At 37.1% G+C, this 17,595-nt stretch overlaps 1 protein-coding gene and 1 long non-coding RNA gene across 3 annotated transcripts in view; one reads left to right on the top strand and one right to left on the bottom strand.

Annotated features, from left to right (window-relative positions):
* The window catches only part of VPS4B (vacuolar protein sorting 4 homolog B), a 33,287-nt gene extending 16,211 nt beyond the window's left edge, over positions 1 to 17,076 (top strand). For both annotated transcript variants that reach the window (NM_004869.4, XM_047437949.1), the window contains 7 exons: positions 2,440 to 2,559; positions 5,563 to 5,719; positions 6,070 to 6,218; positions 6,943 to 7,024; positions 9,013 to 9,232; positions 12,717 to 12,857; positions 15,190 to 17,076. In NM_004869.4, the coding sequence (NP_004860.2) occupies positions 2,440 to 2,559; positions 5,563 to 5,719; positions 6,070 to 6,218; positions 6,943 to 7,024; positions 9,013 to 9,232; positions 12,717 to 12,857; positions 15,190 to 15,291 (971 nt within the window). In that variant the 3' untranslated portion in view covers positions 15,292 to 17,076. The remainder of the gene's footprint in view (positions 1 to 2,439; positions 2,560 to 5,562; positions 5,720 to 6,069; positions 6,219 to 6,942; positions 7,025 to 9,012; positions 9,233 to 12,716; positions 12,858 to 15,189) is intronic.
* LOC124904316 (uncharacterized) lies at positions 1,231 to 5,419 on the bottom strand. The gene is made up of 2 exons (XR_007066399.1): positions 5,227 to 5,419; positions 1,231 to 3,535 (listed from the first exon to the last, which is right to left on the bottom strand). It is a non-coding gene; the product is annotated as an uncharacterized LOC124904316 (long non-coding RNA).
* Positions 17,077 to 17,595: the final 519 nt, after the last annotated feature.

Here is a 17,595-nt window from a genome sequence, read left to right as displayed (position 1 = left end):
TATAGTCCAAGGGCAAAATCTTGAGTTTACACTCAAGCGTAGTGGTGTCCCCACCACCTGAAACTACTGGCACACACTGCGCACTCAGTTGGCATTTATTGGGTAACCCAGTGGGTCTGTGCCAAGTGGCCTTATTCCAGTTGTAAAGCAAGACACTTTTTTTGTCTGCTCTATTGGATTTGGTTTTGTTTCCCTCTCCCTACCCTGCCCCAGGTAAAAATCAGTTGCATATCTTTAATTTTCGAAAAGATACATTTTTTTTTTCTTTTTTGTTTTTTTGAGACAAGGGTGTCGCTGTGTTGCCCAGGCTGGAGTGCAGTGGCGCAATCACGGCTTACTGCAGCCTCGAACTCCTGGGTTCCAGGGATTCTCCTGCCTCAGCCTCCTGAGTAGCTGGGAACACAGGCACACACCACCATGCCCGGCTAAGTTTTTTTTTTTGTTTGTTTGTTTGTTTGTTTGTTTGTTTTTGTAGAGGTGGGGTTTGGCCATGTTGCCCAGGCTGCTCTCGAACTCCTGAGCTCAAGTGATTTGCCCACTTCAGCCTCCCAAAGAGCTGGGATTACAATTGTGAGCCACCGCACTTGGCCGATACAACCAGTTTTTAATAGGGATTTCTCTAAATTCCCTATCACTTACAATAAAGGCCAGAAATGTAAAACAAACAAATAAAAGAGAAAAAAAACCAAATACTTAAAACATTTAAATGAGGAAATGTATTTGAAATTTCAGGATGAAATAGAATATGAAAGGAGTCCTAGCCTTTTATATTTGAATATCCTTTTTTTTCTACTTTTTAATGGTTTGCTGCTGGATTTCATACTATTGTATCTTTTTTGAATTTTTCCTTGTTTTTTGAACAGTATTTTAAATCTTTTACTTCTGTTTTAGATTATGATATTAAGTGTATATTTGTTAAAATTAAAAATCGGTTTGTGATTTGAGTTTTCTGTTAGCTAATTTTATTCAGTGAATTTTTTGTGATTAAGTAATATACTAGTAAATAGTATAGTCAAAGACCGGATAAATTTATATCATTGGAAGTACATTCCATTTGTTAGCATTTTTCATAATCCCATCCCCCCTTTTTAATTTTGCAAACCATGTCTAGTATGAGATTGTTTATCAGTAAACATTCCAAAGTCACCTTTTAACTTAGAAGTATTATATATGAAAACAAATCATGACACATTTTTAAAATTTATAGCAGAAATCTTGAGTCAGACGGTATACATATATAAAATAAAGTTTATTTTTGTTTAACTGACATGAAATCCTAGGATTACTAATCTTAATGAAACATAAAAAAGACGAAATGAATTTACTTTTTTCTTACTTTATAGTAGTCTGAACTTTTGGAATACAAAATGCTTATGGTTTCATGTAATTTTAATCTAGTAGCTAAAGATTTTCATAATTTAGGGAAGTAAGTTGCTAGTAACTAGTCTTAGAGTAACAGATTATCTTTCCTAACAAGAAGAAACAATCAGTAGCAGTGATTTCATAAAGTAATAGATTGTATAAGTGGTGGTGTTCTGTTACACTTAAAACAACTAACTACATGTCATCTTAGAACAGGCTGCTTCATAGTTTATAGTGGAACAGTTTCCATATTCTAGAAAATTAGAAAAGCTTTTGATAAAAGAGAACTAGAAAATTTGTCAGTAGGCTATATTAAAAGACATCCTTCTTGGACTCTTACTGCAATAATTGCTTTGGCTTTTGAATATACTGCATTCAGAAGCTAAATCTTCCCTGTAAGTTAACTTTGTTAATTAACAAAAGTTGTAAATAGATCTATTTAGCAGCCAAATAGAAACTTGGGCAAATCTTAGGAAAGTATTGCAAATCTGCAGGGGTATCTTTTCTCGGTTTCCCATCATCTGCTTCCATTCCTTCCTTTCCTCTCTCCTTTTCCTTCTCCCTTCTGTCTGTCTGCCTATCTTGAGTTAAATTTGTTAAGCATATTTTTTTTTTCAGTGGTTGAGGAGAGGATTAGATCACCTTTTCTTTTGGTTAACAGGAGAAATGGTAGAACAAGTACTTTTGATACTCCAAAATCAATGTATTCAAATATAACCACCTTATGGAACGTTTGGTGCTTTTCCAAACACTCTAATATTCATTATGTCATTTGATTTTCGCACCAACCTATCTAAGTAGTTTGGGCAGATGGTATTATTTTCATTTCACAAGTGAGGAAGCTGAAACAGAAGGGTAAAGTAACATGCCCCAGGTTGTCTAGTCATCCACCTGGTTCCTAGTCCTATTGACTACTCCCTAACACCTGCTTCCTGCTCACGCTATTTCAAAAAGGTTGTTAGTACATAAAACTTTCCCAATTTTATAATGCGTTTCTTTAACATCATTATTTCATGTTGTCTTCTAACTTTGGTGAAATAGTCTTTCTTAATTTAAAGATAACGTAATTTTTTGCAGGTGCCATTGTTATAGAACGACCAAATGTGAAATGGAGTGACGTTGCTGGACTTGAAGGAGCCAAAGAAGCACTGAAAGAGGCTGTGATACTGCCTATTAAATTTCCTCATCTTTTTACAGGTGACATAACTTTTAAATAATTTTATTTCATGAGTTTGTAAAAGTTCATTGATGACTGAGGTGAAGCATTGTCATTCTTGTCACTAATGAATTATCTTAAATAAATTGTGACTGTTAAAAGGTGGTGATATATCTTTATACAAGATGTTTTATTTCTTATACATATCCATATTTGCAGTGTATATATATTGCAAAACAACCTAAATGTCAACCAGTAGGGTAATTCACCAACATGCAGTGGAATACTATGCACTCAGTAAAATAGAGTGTACATCTACATTAATAAATTGAAATCTGCATTGTATTTTATTGAAGAATGTCCACATCTATTGCAAAGATCAAAAAGCAGTTATAAACTGAATAGTATGATTCCATGTTTGCTAAATGTGTATGCTGAGAAGTAAGTATAGTTAGATTCACATAGAAATATTAATATATGCCTAGGGGATAAGATTATAGGAGATTTTTACTTTTGACTTTCATCTGAATTTTTGCAATGGTTATGATTTTTAAAGAGTATTTCTTAAAAAGAGGAGTAAGAATCACTTAACAGTTTCAGAGGAAGTGCATAACCTCTAGTAGCAAAAGGACATTTCATTATCACTGTGAAGAGAATATTGCTGACCTACCATCTGGGGAAACTTACAAGTTCTAGTTCCAGCAGTAAGTGATATGTCTGTGCTAAACCATTCCTTTATATTATCCTTCTTGTGACTGATAGCCTTGACTGTAATATGGCCACACCCACAGTCTGACAGTCAGAGGTTTTTCCTTTTGCAAACATGTTGGTTTATGTCAACAGCAAATCTGCAATGTTGGCCTCAGACTGAAGAGTCCAGACAGTCGTATCGTATAGAGCAGTGATGAAGAGCAAAAAGCCTGTAGGCCACGCACTGTCCGCCTAGCTTCAAGGTGCAGTTTACTACCCAACTTCAGGAGTATGAAACTTAACAGCATAAAAGTTGACATCATAATCCTATAAAAGCACAAAAATATGGTTGAACTCATTTTATGGTATATTACTTATACCACTTTTTCTCAAACATGAGTCATTGATGTATCATCTTCATGAATTTTTCCATGTATGTGTACCATTACTAATTTTTAATATTTTTCTTTGCTTATTTTTTAGAACAACATTTTTACTAGAGTATAGCATAAATATACAGAGACATACAGGAGCCCCTGGGTGTTGGGCTTCCTTAATTGTCACAAAGCAAGCATGCCAGTGTCATCAACCAGATCCAGAAATAACAGCATTGCCAGGGACCTGGCAGGAGCCTTCTGCCTCATTCCTCCCGAGAGGTCATCTCTCTCTCTCGACTTCTAACGCCAGAGATTATTTTGCCTGTATTTGAACTTTAAATCATCTCACATATTTTTACTTAGTAACGTTATTGAAAAGACTGCTTTGTGCCTTTATAAGTGGAAAAAAAAGTGTTTTTCCAATACACATTAAAAAATTATTTAAAGTATATACCACCTAAAAGTACTTCATGTTATACCAGTGGTATATGTACCATACTCAGACACTGACTTGTAAATGTATACATGTAAAATAGGAAAATGAAATTCAAGTAACAGTTGCTTTCATAACAGTTAAGTGAAACAGTGTTATTCATCTGCATATCATTCTTTTGCAGATACTGTGTACACATCCATAGTTTGCACCTAGCAGTTTTTTTTGTTTTGTTTTGTTTTGTTTCTTTTTTTGAGACAGAGTTTCACTCTTGTCACCCAGGCTGGAATGCAATGGCGTGGTCTCGTTTCACTGCAACCTCCACCTCCCGAGTTCAAGCAATTCTCCTGCCTCAGCCTCCCGAGTATTTGGGATTACAGGCATCTGCCACCACACCCAGCTAATTTTTGTATTTTTACTAGAGTCAGGGTTTCACCATGTTGGCCACAGTTGTCCCGAGCTCCTGACCTCAGGTGATCCGCCCATCTCAGCCTCTCAAAGTGCTGGGATTACATACATGAGCCACCATGCCCAGCCATAGTTTTTTAAATGTATGTTTGATAGTTTACTGCCAGCTGTAACCCACCTGTTTTATTTTAGGCAGGATTATAATTGCTCATTAGCAAAATTGAGGCTCGAAGAGTTGATGTATTCACTGGTTATATTTTGGCAAAACTAGGATTTAAAGTAGTATCACCTTTTTGTTACCCAACCATGAAAGTCTGCTACCTAGCTGGAGGCTGAGGTGGGCAGATCACCTGAGGTCAGAAGATCGAGACCAGCCTGACCAACATGGTAAAACCCCGTCTCTACTAAAATACAAAAACTAGCCAGGCGTAATGGCGGGCACCTATAATCTCAGCTACCTGGGAGGCTGAGGCGGGAGAATTGCTTGAAACCAGGAGGCAGAGGTTGCAGTGAGCCGAGATCGCACCACTGCCCTCCAGCCTGGGCAACAAGAGTGAGACTCTGTCTCAAAAAAAATAAAATAAAAGAAAGTCTGCTACCTATAACACTAACCTGTGCTTTCCTGTGGAATCAAGAATTCAGCAGAAACTCACAAGTCATCCAAACTTTGTTAGGTTCACTTTTCCAAAGAGCATAAATATTCAAAGAAAATCTCTTCCAGCTGCCCATTTTTTATGGATATAATTTTTGTACAATATTCTGGTATCAAGCAGTGTACACAGTAGATGATCAGAAAGTACCTTTTAACTGAACTCTTTTCCCCTACTAGACTCCACGCAGGGCAGAAATCCTTTTGCCTGTGCACATGTTACGGTTTTGATACATATTGGTTGAATGAATGAGCAAACAAATGTACTTCCTGTTAGAAGGCTTATGTTATGCAAGTCTCTTTTTGATAAAGTAGTCTCTAGAAGAAACAAAATATATTTAAGACATACCTTAGATTGATTTATTTTTAAAATATTGTTTTGATCCTTAGAGGTTTAGAGTGAAAATCTTTCCAGAGTATTCCTCAGTATAGATGATACAATTAAGTGTTAAAATTCTCATGACATTTTTCTAAATCTAAATTTTAGGCAAGAGAACACCTTGGAGGGGAATCCTATTATTTGGGCCGCCTGGAACAGGAAAGTCCTACTTAGCCAAAGCTGTAGCAACAGAAGCCAACAACTCAACATTTTTTTCAATATCTTCCTCTGATCTTGTTTCTAAGTGGCTAGGTGAAAGTGAAAAGTAAGTAGTAAATCAATTTTTTAAAGTTTTTTCTTTGCCTGTAATTACTGTATCACTCCTTAATAGATTTCTTACATCACTTATAGATATTCAGAGAAGTCATGTAATACAGGTACTCACTTCTCTGTCAAATCAGTCTCTAATCTAGAATTTCTTTTGTGGGAAAAGATAGCATATATCTACAACCTAGTGAATCATAAAGTGAATTATCCAGTTGTAGCATTCTTATTTTCTGTACCTGAAACATGATTAGGCTTTTTAATCTACAGAGTTCTTGTAATATTGATATATTACTTTGTTTTAATCTTTTACTATTTTTTAGAGACTTAAAAGTTTTCATTTATTTTTAGACTGGTTAAGAATTTATTCCAACTTGCCAGAGAGAACAAGCCCTCCATTATCTTCATTGATGAAATTGATTCTCTCTGTGGTTCAAGAAGTGAAAATGAAAGTGAAGCCGCACGTAGAATTAAGACGGAGTTCCTAGTGCAAATGCAAGGTAGTGTTACTAATTTTTTTTTTCTTTTTGAGACGGAGTCTCACTCTGTCGCCCAGGCTGGAGTGCAGTGGCGCGATCTCAGCTCACTACAACCTCCACCTCCCAGGTTCAAGCAATTCTCATGCCTCAGCCTCCTGAGTAGCTGGGATTACAGGCGCGCACCACCATGCCCGGCTAATTTAATGTTACTGATTTTTAAAGTCGTTTTTGTTTATTTTATAACAATTTTTATAACAGTAATGAAAAATTCAAGCAGAATTTCTCCATTCTAACAAACTGTTTCATTTTGCCATGTTTCATTCCAATTGTCTTCCATATGCATACATAATTTTTACTCAATTGTAATTATCTTGTAGGACTCACTGACATAAATAGAAAAGAGATTTAATGTATTCATTTATAATGTACCAGGAACAACTTCAGTAAAAGTAATATGTAGACTTCGAATGAAATTTTTCAAGAAATATTTTGAAACGAATGTTAATAGTATTTTCCACAATCTGGGAGATTTGATTCATATATTTGCATCATATTGCATCATAGTGTATTTGGATCATATTGCCGTAAGGTGATATTTGATTAAATACAGTTCTTTTCCAAAGACAGACTCTCAAGATGAAGCACTTTAATGGTAAAGCACCACATTTCTTAACAGAATATATGGAAGAAGTTTAAAGAACACCAAAATGACAAATTAATTAAAGCATTACCTATTTTAATGCAGGGGTTGGTGTAGACAATGATGGAATTTTGGTTCTGGGAGCTACAAATATACCCTGGGTTCTGGATTCTGCCATTAGGCGAAGGTAGGATAATATAGTAAATATCTTATTTCTCACTGCAGATGTAACAAGTAGATGATAATTCTCTTTTTGTCTTGTCAGGAAGCATTCTAACAACTTTTCAAAAGATTTGTAATGTGCTCTAACCCTGTTGCTCCCCTGCCTTGAGTGGGAGAAGGGTGGTCATTTGCTTGTTTGTTTCCCTAGTTTATCAAATATACAAGATTTCCACACACTTCTGTCTTTCATATTAGAAAATATATTACCTAATGCTTACCTTTCATTCTGATTAAGTTTGGTGGGCACTGATGCTTCAAAAATTTATAAACATAGTTTGACAATTCAGTAAAAACCATTTATATAAAATTTTAGCAAAATGGCAATTCTATAAGTCAAAATAAGATAACCAGGTAAGATTTTTTTTTTTTTTTTGAGTCGGAGTCTCACTCTGTTGCCAGGCTGGAGTGCGGTGGTGCGATCTCGGCTCACTGCATCCTCCACCTCCCGGGTTCAAGTGATTCTCCTGCCTCAGCCTCCCAAGTAGCTGGGACTACAGGTATGCACCACCACGCCCAGCTAATTTGTATATTTTTAGTAGAGACGAGATTTCATCATGTGGCCAGGATGGTCTCGATCTCTTGACCTCATGATCCACCCGCCTCAGCCTCCGAGAGTGCTGGAATTACAGATGTGAGCCACCGTGCCCAGCCAAGATTTTTTTTTTTTTTAGTAAAAACTATATGTCAGGCCGGGTGTGGTGGCTCATGCCTGTAATCCCAGCACTTTGGGAAACCAAGGTAGGCAGATTGCCTGAGCTCAGGAGTTCAAAACCACCCTGGGCAACGTGGTGAAACCCTGTCTCTACTAAAATCCAAAAAAATTACCTGGCCATGGTGGCGCACACCTGTCTGTAGTCCCAGCTACTCGGGAAGCTGAGGTGGGAGAATCGCTTGAGCCCAGGAGGCGGAGGTTGCAGTGAGCCAAGATTGTGCCACTGCACTCCAGCTTGGGCAACAGAGTGAGACTCCATCTCAAAAAAAAATATATATATATATATATATGTGTGTGTGTGTGTATATATGTATATGTGTATATGTATATATGTATACACACACACATCTATCTATCTAATTTTTAAGTTGAAAATGAAACTTCAGTTCTAGGAAAGGTATACGGACTCTTCACTTTTCACTCTTCACAGTTCTGTATTACATTCATTTATTTTGTATGGTAAAAATTAGCACTTCAGTTTTTGCCACTTTTATCCCATTCACTTGATGATTTGCGCCAGCATTCTAGCTTACCATCCAGTACCAAGAAAGGAAATGTGCAGGGTATTTTTGAAAAATTGCCTTATTCTGCACCCATCTCTAGAGGCAACGGAAACTTTAAATTCTTTTCATTGTCACAGAGAGTTACCTGGAGAAAAAACAGTCTGCTCAGACCACTTAAATTATCCCTCATCGTTGCTTCTCTGTCTCCAAATACCGAAATTCTAAGAAAGCAAGCAAAATTATTGTTAATGAAACATAGTGTTTATTCTTTATAATATAGGATTGTTCTGGATGTATTCATTAAAGTGGACATTTTGTGTAATATATATCCTATAAGATTGTGAGGTAATTCTGTTTTGAATGTAGAGAATTACTGTGTCATCTCTACTCCTGTTTTATATTGTTAATCATTAGTCCCTTGATCAAGAGTTCAGAGTACAATTTTGTGGGAAACTGTAACCCTGTAGGACCTCTTTTTATTTCATGAATTCCAGACATAGGAACACTGTGGCCAAAATAACCCAAAAATGCACGAAAGATTCAGCCACTTCAAACTGGCTCCCAGGCTATTTTGATTTTATTTGTTTGTTTTTAATGTGTTCTGGATATTATCCCTTTAACCTAAATATATATGTTTAACCTTGGCACATACAGGCCCACTTAACTTAGTATCTGTTTCTTCTTGGAAATATCCTAATTTTCAATTAAATATATTCTTGATGTAATTTCTCTTTTAAGATTTGAGAAACGAATTTATATTCCCTTGCCGGAACCCCATGCCCGAGCAGCAATGTTTAAACTGCACCTAGGGACCACTCAGAACAGTCTCACGGAAGCAGACTTTCGGGAACTTGGGAGGAAAACAGATGGTTATTCAGGGGCAGATATAAGTATCATTGTACGTGATGCCCTTATGCAGCCTGTTAGGAAAGTACAGTCAGCTACTCATTTTAAAAAGGTAAGTCATTTTTATCTATCCTTTCCTATCTTTTTTTTTTTTTTTTGAGACAGTCTCACTCTGTTGCCCAGGCTGGAGTGCAGTGGCACTATCTGGGCTTGCTGCAACCTCCGCCTCCCGGGTTCAAGCAATTCTCATGCCTTAGCCTCCTGAGTAGCTGGAATTACAGGCGTGTGCCACCACGCCTGGCTAATTTTTTGTATTTTTAGTAGAGACAGGATTTCACCATGTTGGCCAGGCTGGTCTCGAACTCCTGACTCCAGGTGATCCACCCACCTCGGCCTCCCAAAGGCGTGAGCCACTGCGCCTGGCCCTTTTCCTGTATTTTTAAAATCAAGTTTCAAGACCGTCATTGGTTTGTCTTCAAAGAATTTGGGAGGATTTCAGTGTTGTATAATAATACCATAAGTGGGTTTACATAATAGACATATTTCTGTGTCACTGAAACAAGTTCTTTAATAAAGTTTATTTATTGGCCATTTTTGGCTGGGTGCAGTGCCCCATACCTGTAATCCCAGCACTTTAGGAGGCCGAGGTGGGCAGATCTCTTGAGCTCAGGAGAGACCAGCCTCAGGCAACATGGCAAAACCCCATCTCTGTAAAAAATACAAAAATTAGCTGGATGTGGTGGCACACTCCTGTAGTCCCAGCTACTTGGGAGGCTGAAGTGGGAGAATCTCTTGAGCCCAGGAGGTGGAGGTTGCAGTGAGCCGAGATTGCACCAGTGTACTCCAGCCTGGGTGACACAGTGAGACCCTGTCTTAAAAAAAGAAAAGGCCTTATTAATCATCCTAATGTGTTTTAAATTTTCCTATGAAATGATTTTTGAAGTATTTGTGTATTATTTTGATATAAGTATAGAAACTTAAATGTACAGATGTAAGGCTGCTTCTGACACATCTAGAATATTTTTGAGTAGAATCTGGTGCATTTATACCTCATAAAGTAAAAATAATAATAGCTAATATCTTTTAAATATTCACATGCCTGGCACTGTGTTCTGTCTTTTATCTTACTATTTCATTTGGTCTTCACAAAAATCAGCAAGAGAGGTACATGTAGCCAGCCACCTAATGGTGGTTAGTCTTGGACGTAGGTGCTAACACAGTAGCTAGAGTGGGACAGACATGTGATTTGCCTGGAGGTGAGGTGTGTTTCCAAATCTGAAATCTCAGCCATTCTGCTATCCTGCCCCTCCTGTGTTCTGTTTTGTCTGCAAGAACAAGTTAAGCATCTGTGGCTGAGATAAAGTTTTATAAGAAGGCTGTGGTCTTGAGATACCCAGTTTGAGTAACAATGAACTAGGTAATCTGGACCAACCCTTTTGCTGTGAACAACAGTATCCAGTATTACTCATGAACATACATGTGAAAAACTATTAGCAAACCTAATCTCATAATGTATGTCAAGACTAATATGACTAAGTCACATACGTATATTTATCATGTACCATAATAAGATTTTTTTAAGTTAACAAGCTTGAATTAAAATCTGAATTTGAAGCCTGGCACCATTTACTTGTTATACCTTTTTGAGCAAATTCTATTACTTCTTTAAAGCTCATTTTTATCATTTCTAAAATGGGGATGTGATAATGCTATTTTGAAGTCCTTTCCAATAATGAAGTGATATAATACTCATAAAACACCAGTCGTGGTACTTCAGATGCGTAGGGAATGTTACTCATCCACCCTTCTTCAGCCATTTCATTACTGAAGTACTGTTAAGTTTATGCCACAGCCATTATGTTTTTTCTTAAATTCTCTTTGCCATTTAGAAACTATAAATGCATAGGAACTCAGTCCTTTCCTACTGAGAGTTTGTCACTCAATTCTGCATATTACTGCCAGGGTGAGCTCACATGACGCTGAAGCCAGGTCCTTGTTAGTGGGATGAAGGTGACACAGCCAGATGAGTTTTATCTCTGCAGCTGGGGATCACCAGCTGCAGCAGACCTCTCAGCGGCTCCATCCTTTACTTCTTTTAAAGCTGATTATTTCAGTTAACAAGAAGAAGATTCCCTGTTTATTTTTTGCATTTACTAGTATTTTATTTCTAAAATACTAATCTGGGACCGGTGGTAGATCAGAAAGTAGAGCAGTCAAAAAAGACAAAAATCCCTGACCTCATGCAGCTAAAATATTAGTGAGTAAAGACAGTAAAATACACATAATAAGGTGAGAGCATGTATTTCTTCACATCTACACTAATACTGAGATAATATTTAAAGTCGATTATTGTGAAACAGATGTGAAAGTGCCCCCAAGTTGGCTGGGCGCGGTGGCTCACGCCTGTAATCCCAGCACTTTGGGAGGCCAAGGTGGGCGGATCACAAGGTCAGGGGTTCGAGACCAGCCTGGCCATCATGATAAAACCCCATCTCTACTAAAAATACAAAAATTAGCTCGGCGTCAGGGCGGGCGCCTATAATCCCAGCTACTCGGGAGGCTGAGGCAGGAGAATTGCTTGAACCCTGGAGGTGGAAGTTGCAGTGAGCTGACATCGCACCACTGCCCTCCAGCCTGGGCTACAAAGCGAGACTCCGTCTCAAAAAAAAAAAAAAAGAAGTGCCTCCAAGTTGATGCAGACTATTGCCATCTAAATGTTTACATGTGACTATGTCACAAAGATTCTTTTTCTGGATATTGTTAAAACTTATAAATAAGTTGTACATGATAAAATGGCATTGATACTGCATTTAGCATACAATTTTGCACTTAGATTTGAGAGCATTTTTGTTGAAAGAGATTCAGTAGTTTCATACTAAAGTTCCAAATATTACAGAAGTTTCTCAGCTATAGAGCAACTTCTGAGAATTTTTTAATATATCTGTTTTTGGTCTTTAAGATTACTACCACTTATTAAGCACTAGAGGGGAAAAAGAGAAAGCCACAGGTAACTATTTTTTTTTTAACTCATCTTCTATGTGTGATCATACAAGCAATTTATTGTAGGAAATTTCAAAATATAGAAAGCATCAAGAAAAAAACTAAAAGCAGCTGGGTGCAGTCGCTCACACCTGTAATCCCAGCACTTTGGGAGGCCGAGGCTGGCGGATCACAAGGTCAGGAGATCAAGACCATCTTGGCCAACATGGTGAAACCCCGTCTCTCCTAAAAATAAAAAAAAATTAGCTGGGTGTGGTGGCACATGCCTGTAATCCTAGCTACTCGGGAGGCTGAGGGATGAGAATCCCTTGAACCCAGGAGGTGGAGGTTGCAGTGAGCTGACATCGTGCCACTTCACTCCAGCCTGGTGACAGAGCAAGACGCCCTTTCAAAAAAAAAACTAAAAGCAACCAAAATCTATCCCATTACCCAGGGGATAACTACTTTTTGTTGTATATTCTTAATTTTTTTTCCAAAAGTAAACATTCTAATAAAACATACAAAACTATTATACATTTTAACTTTCCTGGTAATGGATTAAGTCTTAATGTTCAATTTTGTTTCAAATACATATTTCAGATTACTGTTTATTTCAGGTTCGCGGACCTTCCCGAGCTGATCCTAACCATCTTGTAGATGATCTGCTAACACCTTGCTCTCCAGGTGACCCTGGTGCCATTGAAATGACATGGATGGATGTCCCTGGAGATAAACTTTTGGAGCCAGTTGTTTCCATGGTTTGAAATTTTGTTTGTTTTTAAGAAAATATTTTAAAACATTATACTTCATAATTTTCAGTTATATAAGATTTGCTGGAAAATCTTAGTATAAACAGGTGTATTTTACTTAATATTGTTGACTCATTAAAAATTATGAAGTTAATTGAACTTAAAATATAAAAAGTCATTATTTTTAAACTATTTTCTTGGGTTTAGAGGAACCTTTAAGTGAAAAAGCTATTTTTTAAAGCACAAGATTCTGACTTTACAGGTCTTATAGCTAGAATATCTCCAAAATGCTCATATATAGTATAATTATTGTAAAGACCTAACTAAAAAATAGGGTTGGTGAAATATTTTTTTTCCCCTGCATCTCAGATTTTTTAAAATAACCAGAAGTCACCTGTAATCCCAGCACTTTGGGAGGCCAAGGCGGGCAGACCACTTGAGGCCAGGAGTTTGAAACTGGCCTGGCCAACATGGTGAAATGCCATCTCTCCTAAAAATACAAAAATTAGCCAGGCAGTGTGGTGCACACCTGCAATCCAGCTACTCAGCTGAGGCAGGAGAATCACGTGAACCAGGGAGGCAGAGGTTGCAGTGAGCCGAGATTGCACAACCGCACCCCAGCCTGGGCAACAGAGCGAGACTCTGTCTCCAAAAAAAAAACAAAAAATAGGGCCAGGTACGGTGGCTCATGCCTGTAATCCCAACACTTTGGGAGGCCGAGGCGGGTGGATCATGAGGTCAGGAGATCGAGACCATCCTGGCCAACACGGTGAAACCCCATCTCTACTAAAAATACAAAAAGTTAGCCAGACGTGGTGGCACGTGCGTGTAGTCCCAGCTACTTGGGAGGCTGAGGCAGGAGAATAGCTTGAACCCAGGAGGCGGAGGTTGCAGTGAGCCGAGATCATACCACTGCACTCCAGCCTGGGCAACAGAGCGAGACTCTGTCTCAAAAAACAACAACAACAAAAACAAAAACCAGAAATACTAATGCTTGTATCATTGTTTTTATAGTGTTTTCTATTTCACTTCTCAAAGCTCCATAGAAAGTTTAAATATTGTAGTTCTATTTTTATTTTTAAAAATTACAGTTAATATAGTTTATATTGGAAGAATTAAAATAATCTACAAGACTTACTTTGCAAGGCATGTTATTTTTAGGGAACTTAGGGTGATTGAAAAGTTGTTTACTTACAGAAGAACATTCTCAGTTTTCAAAATTTTCTGTCAGTTTCAGATCTTCAAAGACCTTTAATGGCAGGTTTAATAGTAACTTCCAGAGGAGAAACTTTTACACGGTACATAGATATACATGTAAATGTGTATACACCCATATATTTGTGTGTGAACTAACCATAATGCTTATCTGAGAAGTTACTCAGAAACCCCTTTGTTTTAATCCTTGGTGTATTATTTTTTATTTTTTGTACTTTGTTCAGCTTTGAAGAATTTTTAGTAACTTAGAGTGGTCCTTTTCATTATTTTTCATATCCTTTTACAGGAGTCTAGGCTTAGAAGTTAGTTTTTTAATGAATCTCTGATATTAGCATATTTTTCTAACCATTTCGATCTTAATTGTAACTAATTATTTTAAAATTCTGGTTAGTAGATTTTTCATAGAATGGTATTCTGCTTCACTTAAGTGTAAGTGAATGATATTTTCCTTTTGAATTATACTGACTTGGAAAATTGATCTCGTTTAAGAAAAAGAGATAAGGCCAGAAATTAGATCATGAACATACTTTGGAGGCCTTGATCCTCAGACTAAGGGGATTGTCCTTCTGATAAGTATTGGGGAGCCATTTGATCAGTTCAGGGGAAGAAAGTATACGTTTCTACACAAAGGAATAACATGATCAAAGATCATGAAAGATCTGTGAAAGAATAGGGGCCGGGTGCAGGGGCCCACGCCTGTAATCCCAGCACTTCGCAAGGCAGAGGCAGGCGGATCACCTGAGGTCAGGGGTTCGAGACCAGCCTGACCAACAAAACGAAACCCCATCTCTACTAAAAATACAAAAATTAGCCAGGTGTGGTTTCAGGTGCCTGTAATCCCAGCTACTTGGGAGGCTGAGGCAGGAGAATCTCTTGAACCTGGGAGGCAGAGGTTGCAATGAGCCAAGATCACGCCACTGCGCTCCAGCCTGAGCCAACAGAGTGAGACTCCAACTCAAAAAAAAAAAAAAAGAATAGGGAGTTTATCGTTAGTATCTTATGGCAGACTGCAAATATTCATATTTAAACTTAGGTTAAAGTTCATAGCAATAATGATAATATGACGGTTTTTTATTTTGTTAACTCTATTATTAATATCCTCCCTACCCTTCTTTTTCCCTGACAGTCGGATATGTTGCGGTCACTATCTAACACAAAACCTACAGTCAATGAACATGACTTGTTGAAATTAAAGAAGTTTACAGAAGATTTTGGTCAAGAAGGCTAAGCCAAAGACAAGGAAGATGCTTACCATATGTATTCTTTCTTTCATAGATATTTTTGTCTATTTGGATCGCATTAATTGTTTCCAGTAAAACTCTTTTACCACAGGGAAATACACATCTCACTTCAGAGTTCCATTAGGTTTTATATTGTACTTTTCCTCCATTACTTATTAAATACTCCTATTAACAAAAGGTACAAAATAACAGGTTATGAGGAAATGAGCGATATATGAACGGCATAAAAACAGAAATTACCCAGTAAAAAGGATGTCAGAAATTGACATACAAATATTTACAATTTTTATGAATGGTGGTCTTTGCAAAGAGCATTTATATTTTCTTTTTTTTTTACTAAAATGATATAGGGTTTATTTTATATTTTCAAAAAAATTGTTAAACATCATTCTTATCAATGTAAAATTTACGTTATTAAAAAATTACAAATGATAGAATCTTTACTCAGGGATGGGCAATAAAACAGCAAAGAGCTTTGTGATTGGGTTTGAAAGATTTTGAATTATAGACAGTGCTCTTAATAGTTTTTAATAAGTTGATATTTTTTTCTGTGTAGATTTAAATAATTTCTTTAAAAGCGTAAGCTTTGGCTGGGCATGGTGGCTTATGCCTGTAATCCCAGCACTTTGGGAGGCTACGATGGGTGGATCACCTGAGGTCAGGAGTTCAAGACCAGTCTGGCCAACATGGTGAAATGCCGTCTCTACTAAAAATACAAAAATTAGCTGGGCATGATGGCGAGTGTCTGTAATCCCAGCTACTCAGGAGGCTGAGGCGGGAGAATCACTTGAACCTGGGAGGCAGAGGTTGCAGTGAGCTGAGATCGCGCTACTGCATTCCAGCCTGGGCGCCGAGATAGCGCCATTGCACTCCAGCCTGGGCGACTGAATAAAACTCTGTCTCAAAAAAAAACAAAAACGGTAAGCTTTTATATTTAATTAACTGATACCTTTCACTGTGCAATCTCAAGAGGAAGATTTTCTAAATTAGACATTGTCTTTACCTTAAAGAAGAAAATTGTCTATTTCAGTGTCTTTTTTAGCAAGATTGACCAAAACAGGTGGTAGGTGTGTAATTTTTAACTGTCATGAAATACTGTAATGCGCACCTTTGCTAATAAGGAAATGGTCTCCCTTTGAATTATGGGAAGTTTCTTGTCTGTGATATGGGGTGTCTGTGTACATATATGTATATTTCCTTTTTTAATACAGGATAATAATATGGGGTCTTGTCCTTCACCTTTTAAGTTCAGGGAACAGTTTGTCCTGACCACACATATGTTATCAGTGTAATGCTTTATGAAGCTTTAGAAATGAGCTCATGACTCATTAAAAAATAATAAACGATGCTATTTTAATATTTTCAAATAAATAATCTGAGGATGTGTTTCATACTTTAGCATCAACGCTGAGTTGTGCCTTGTAGAATTGCATTGTCTATACATGCAAAAGACTATTAAGTTAGGATGAACTAGATTCCCTAATTACAGTGAAATTCTATCTTGCAAATGCTATAGAATAACTTGCATTTTAAAGTGTATTTGCACATTTTACATATGCTATGTGGTTGCCTTTGGGTTTTCTGTACAGATTGTTTTTGTTATTAAATGGAAAAGGCCTGAATTATGCTCTTATGTGAAGTAAATTGATATAACCTATTGACTGTATTCTGTGTATTATTCTTTATTTTGGGACCTTCTGTGTAAAAGAAAATATTACCTAAATTGGTTAGATACAAAGAAATCATTAAAATTATTAATGTATATATGAAAATTCTGTTTTTCAATGACTTTTATGTGAGGATTGAGAACTAACTTAGTAAACTAACACTGAATTCTTTGTGGATAAGATAATTTATACATCTTACCTGTTTATCAGCCTCAGAATTATACAGTACTGCTGTGTGTTCTTTATGGACAGATACTCAAAGGAATCCGAATGGGCATGTTCTATTTCTCTGGCTCTTGACCAGTAATTATAAAGTTTAGGTAGACATTTTCTGAGCCAGCAAGTAGATCATAGTTGTTAAGCATCTCTATGACTTACACCCTGGATATTTGAAAGCATTTTGTCTCACCCTGAGAAATCTATAAGGACTCTATAATTATAAAACATGTCAATAGAGAATTGACTTCTGAGTCCACTGTCAACTACATGCAGAAAAACAGAATGAGTGTACTTGATTAGTGCCACAGAAGCACCATTTAGCCACTTTCAGAGTTGATAAAGAGGCATACCTACCTGATGGTGCTGTATGTTGCAAGTGAAGCAACACAGTGCCCATTGTTGACA

Source organism: Homo sapiens, chromosome 18 (assembly GCF_000001405.40).
Source record: "Homo sapiens chromosome 18, GRCh38.p14 Primary Assembly".
Lineage (NCBI taxonomy): Eukaryota > Metazoa > Chordata > Mammalia > Primates > Hominidae > Homo > Homo sapiens.
Note: the sequence above shows the minus strand (reverse complement) of the source record. Positions and strands in the feature narration are given on the sequence as shown.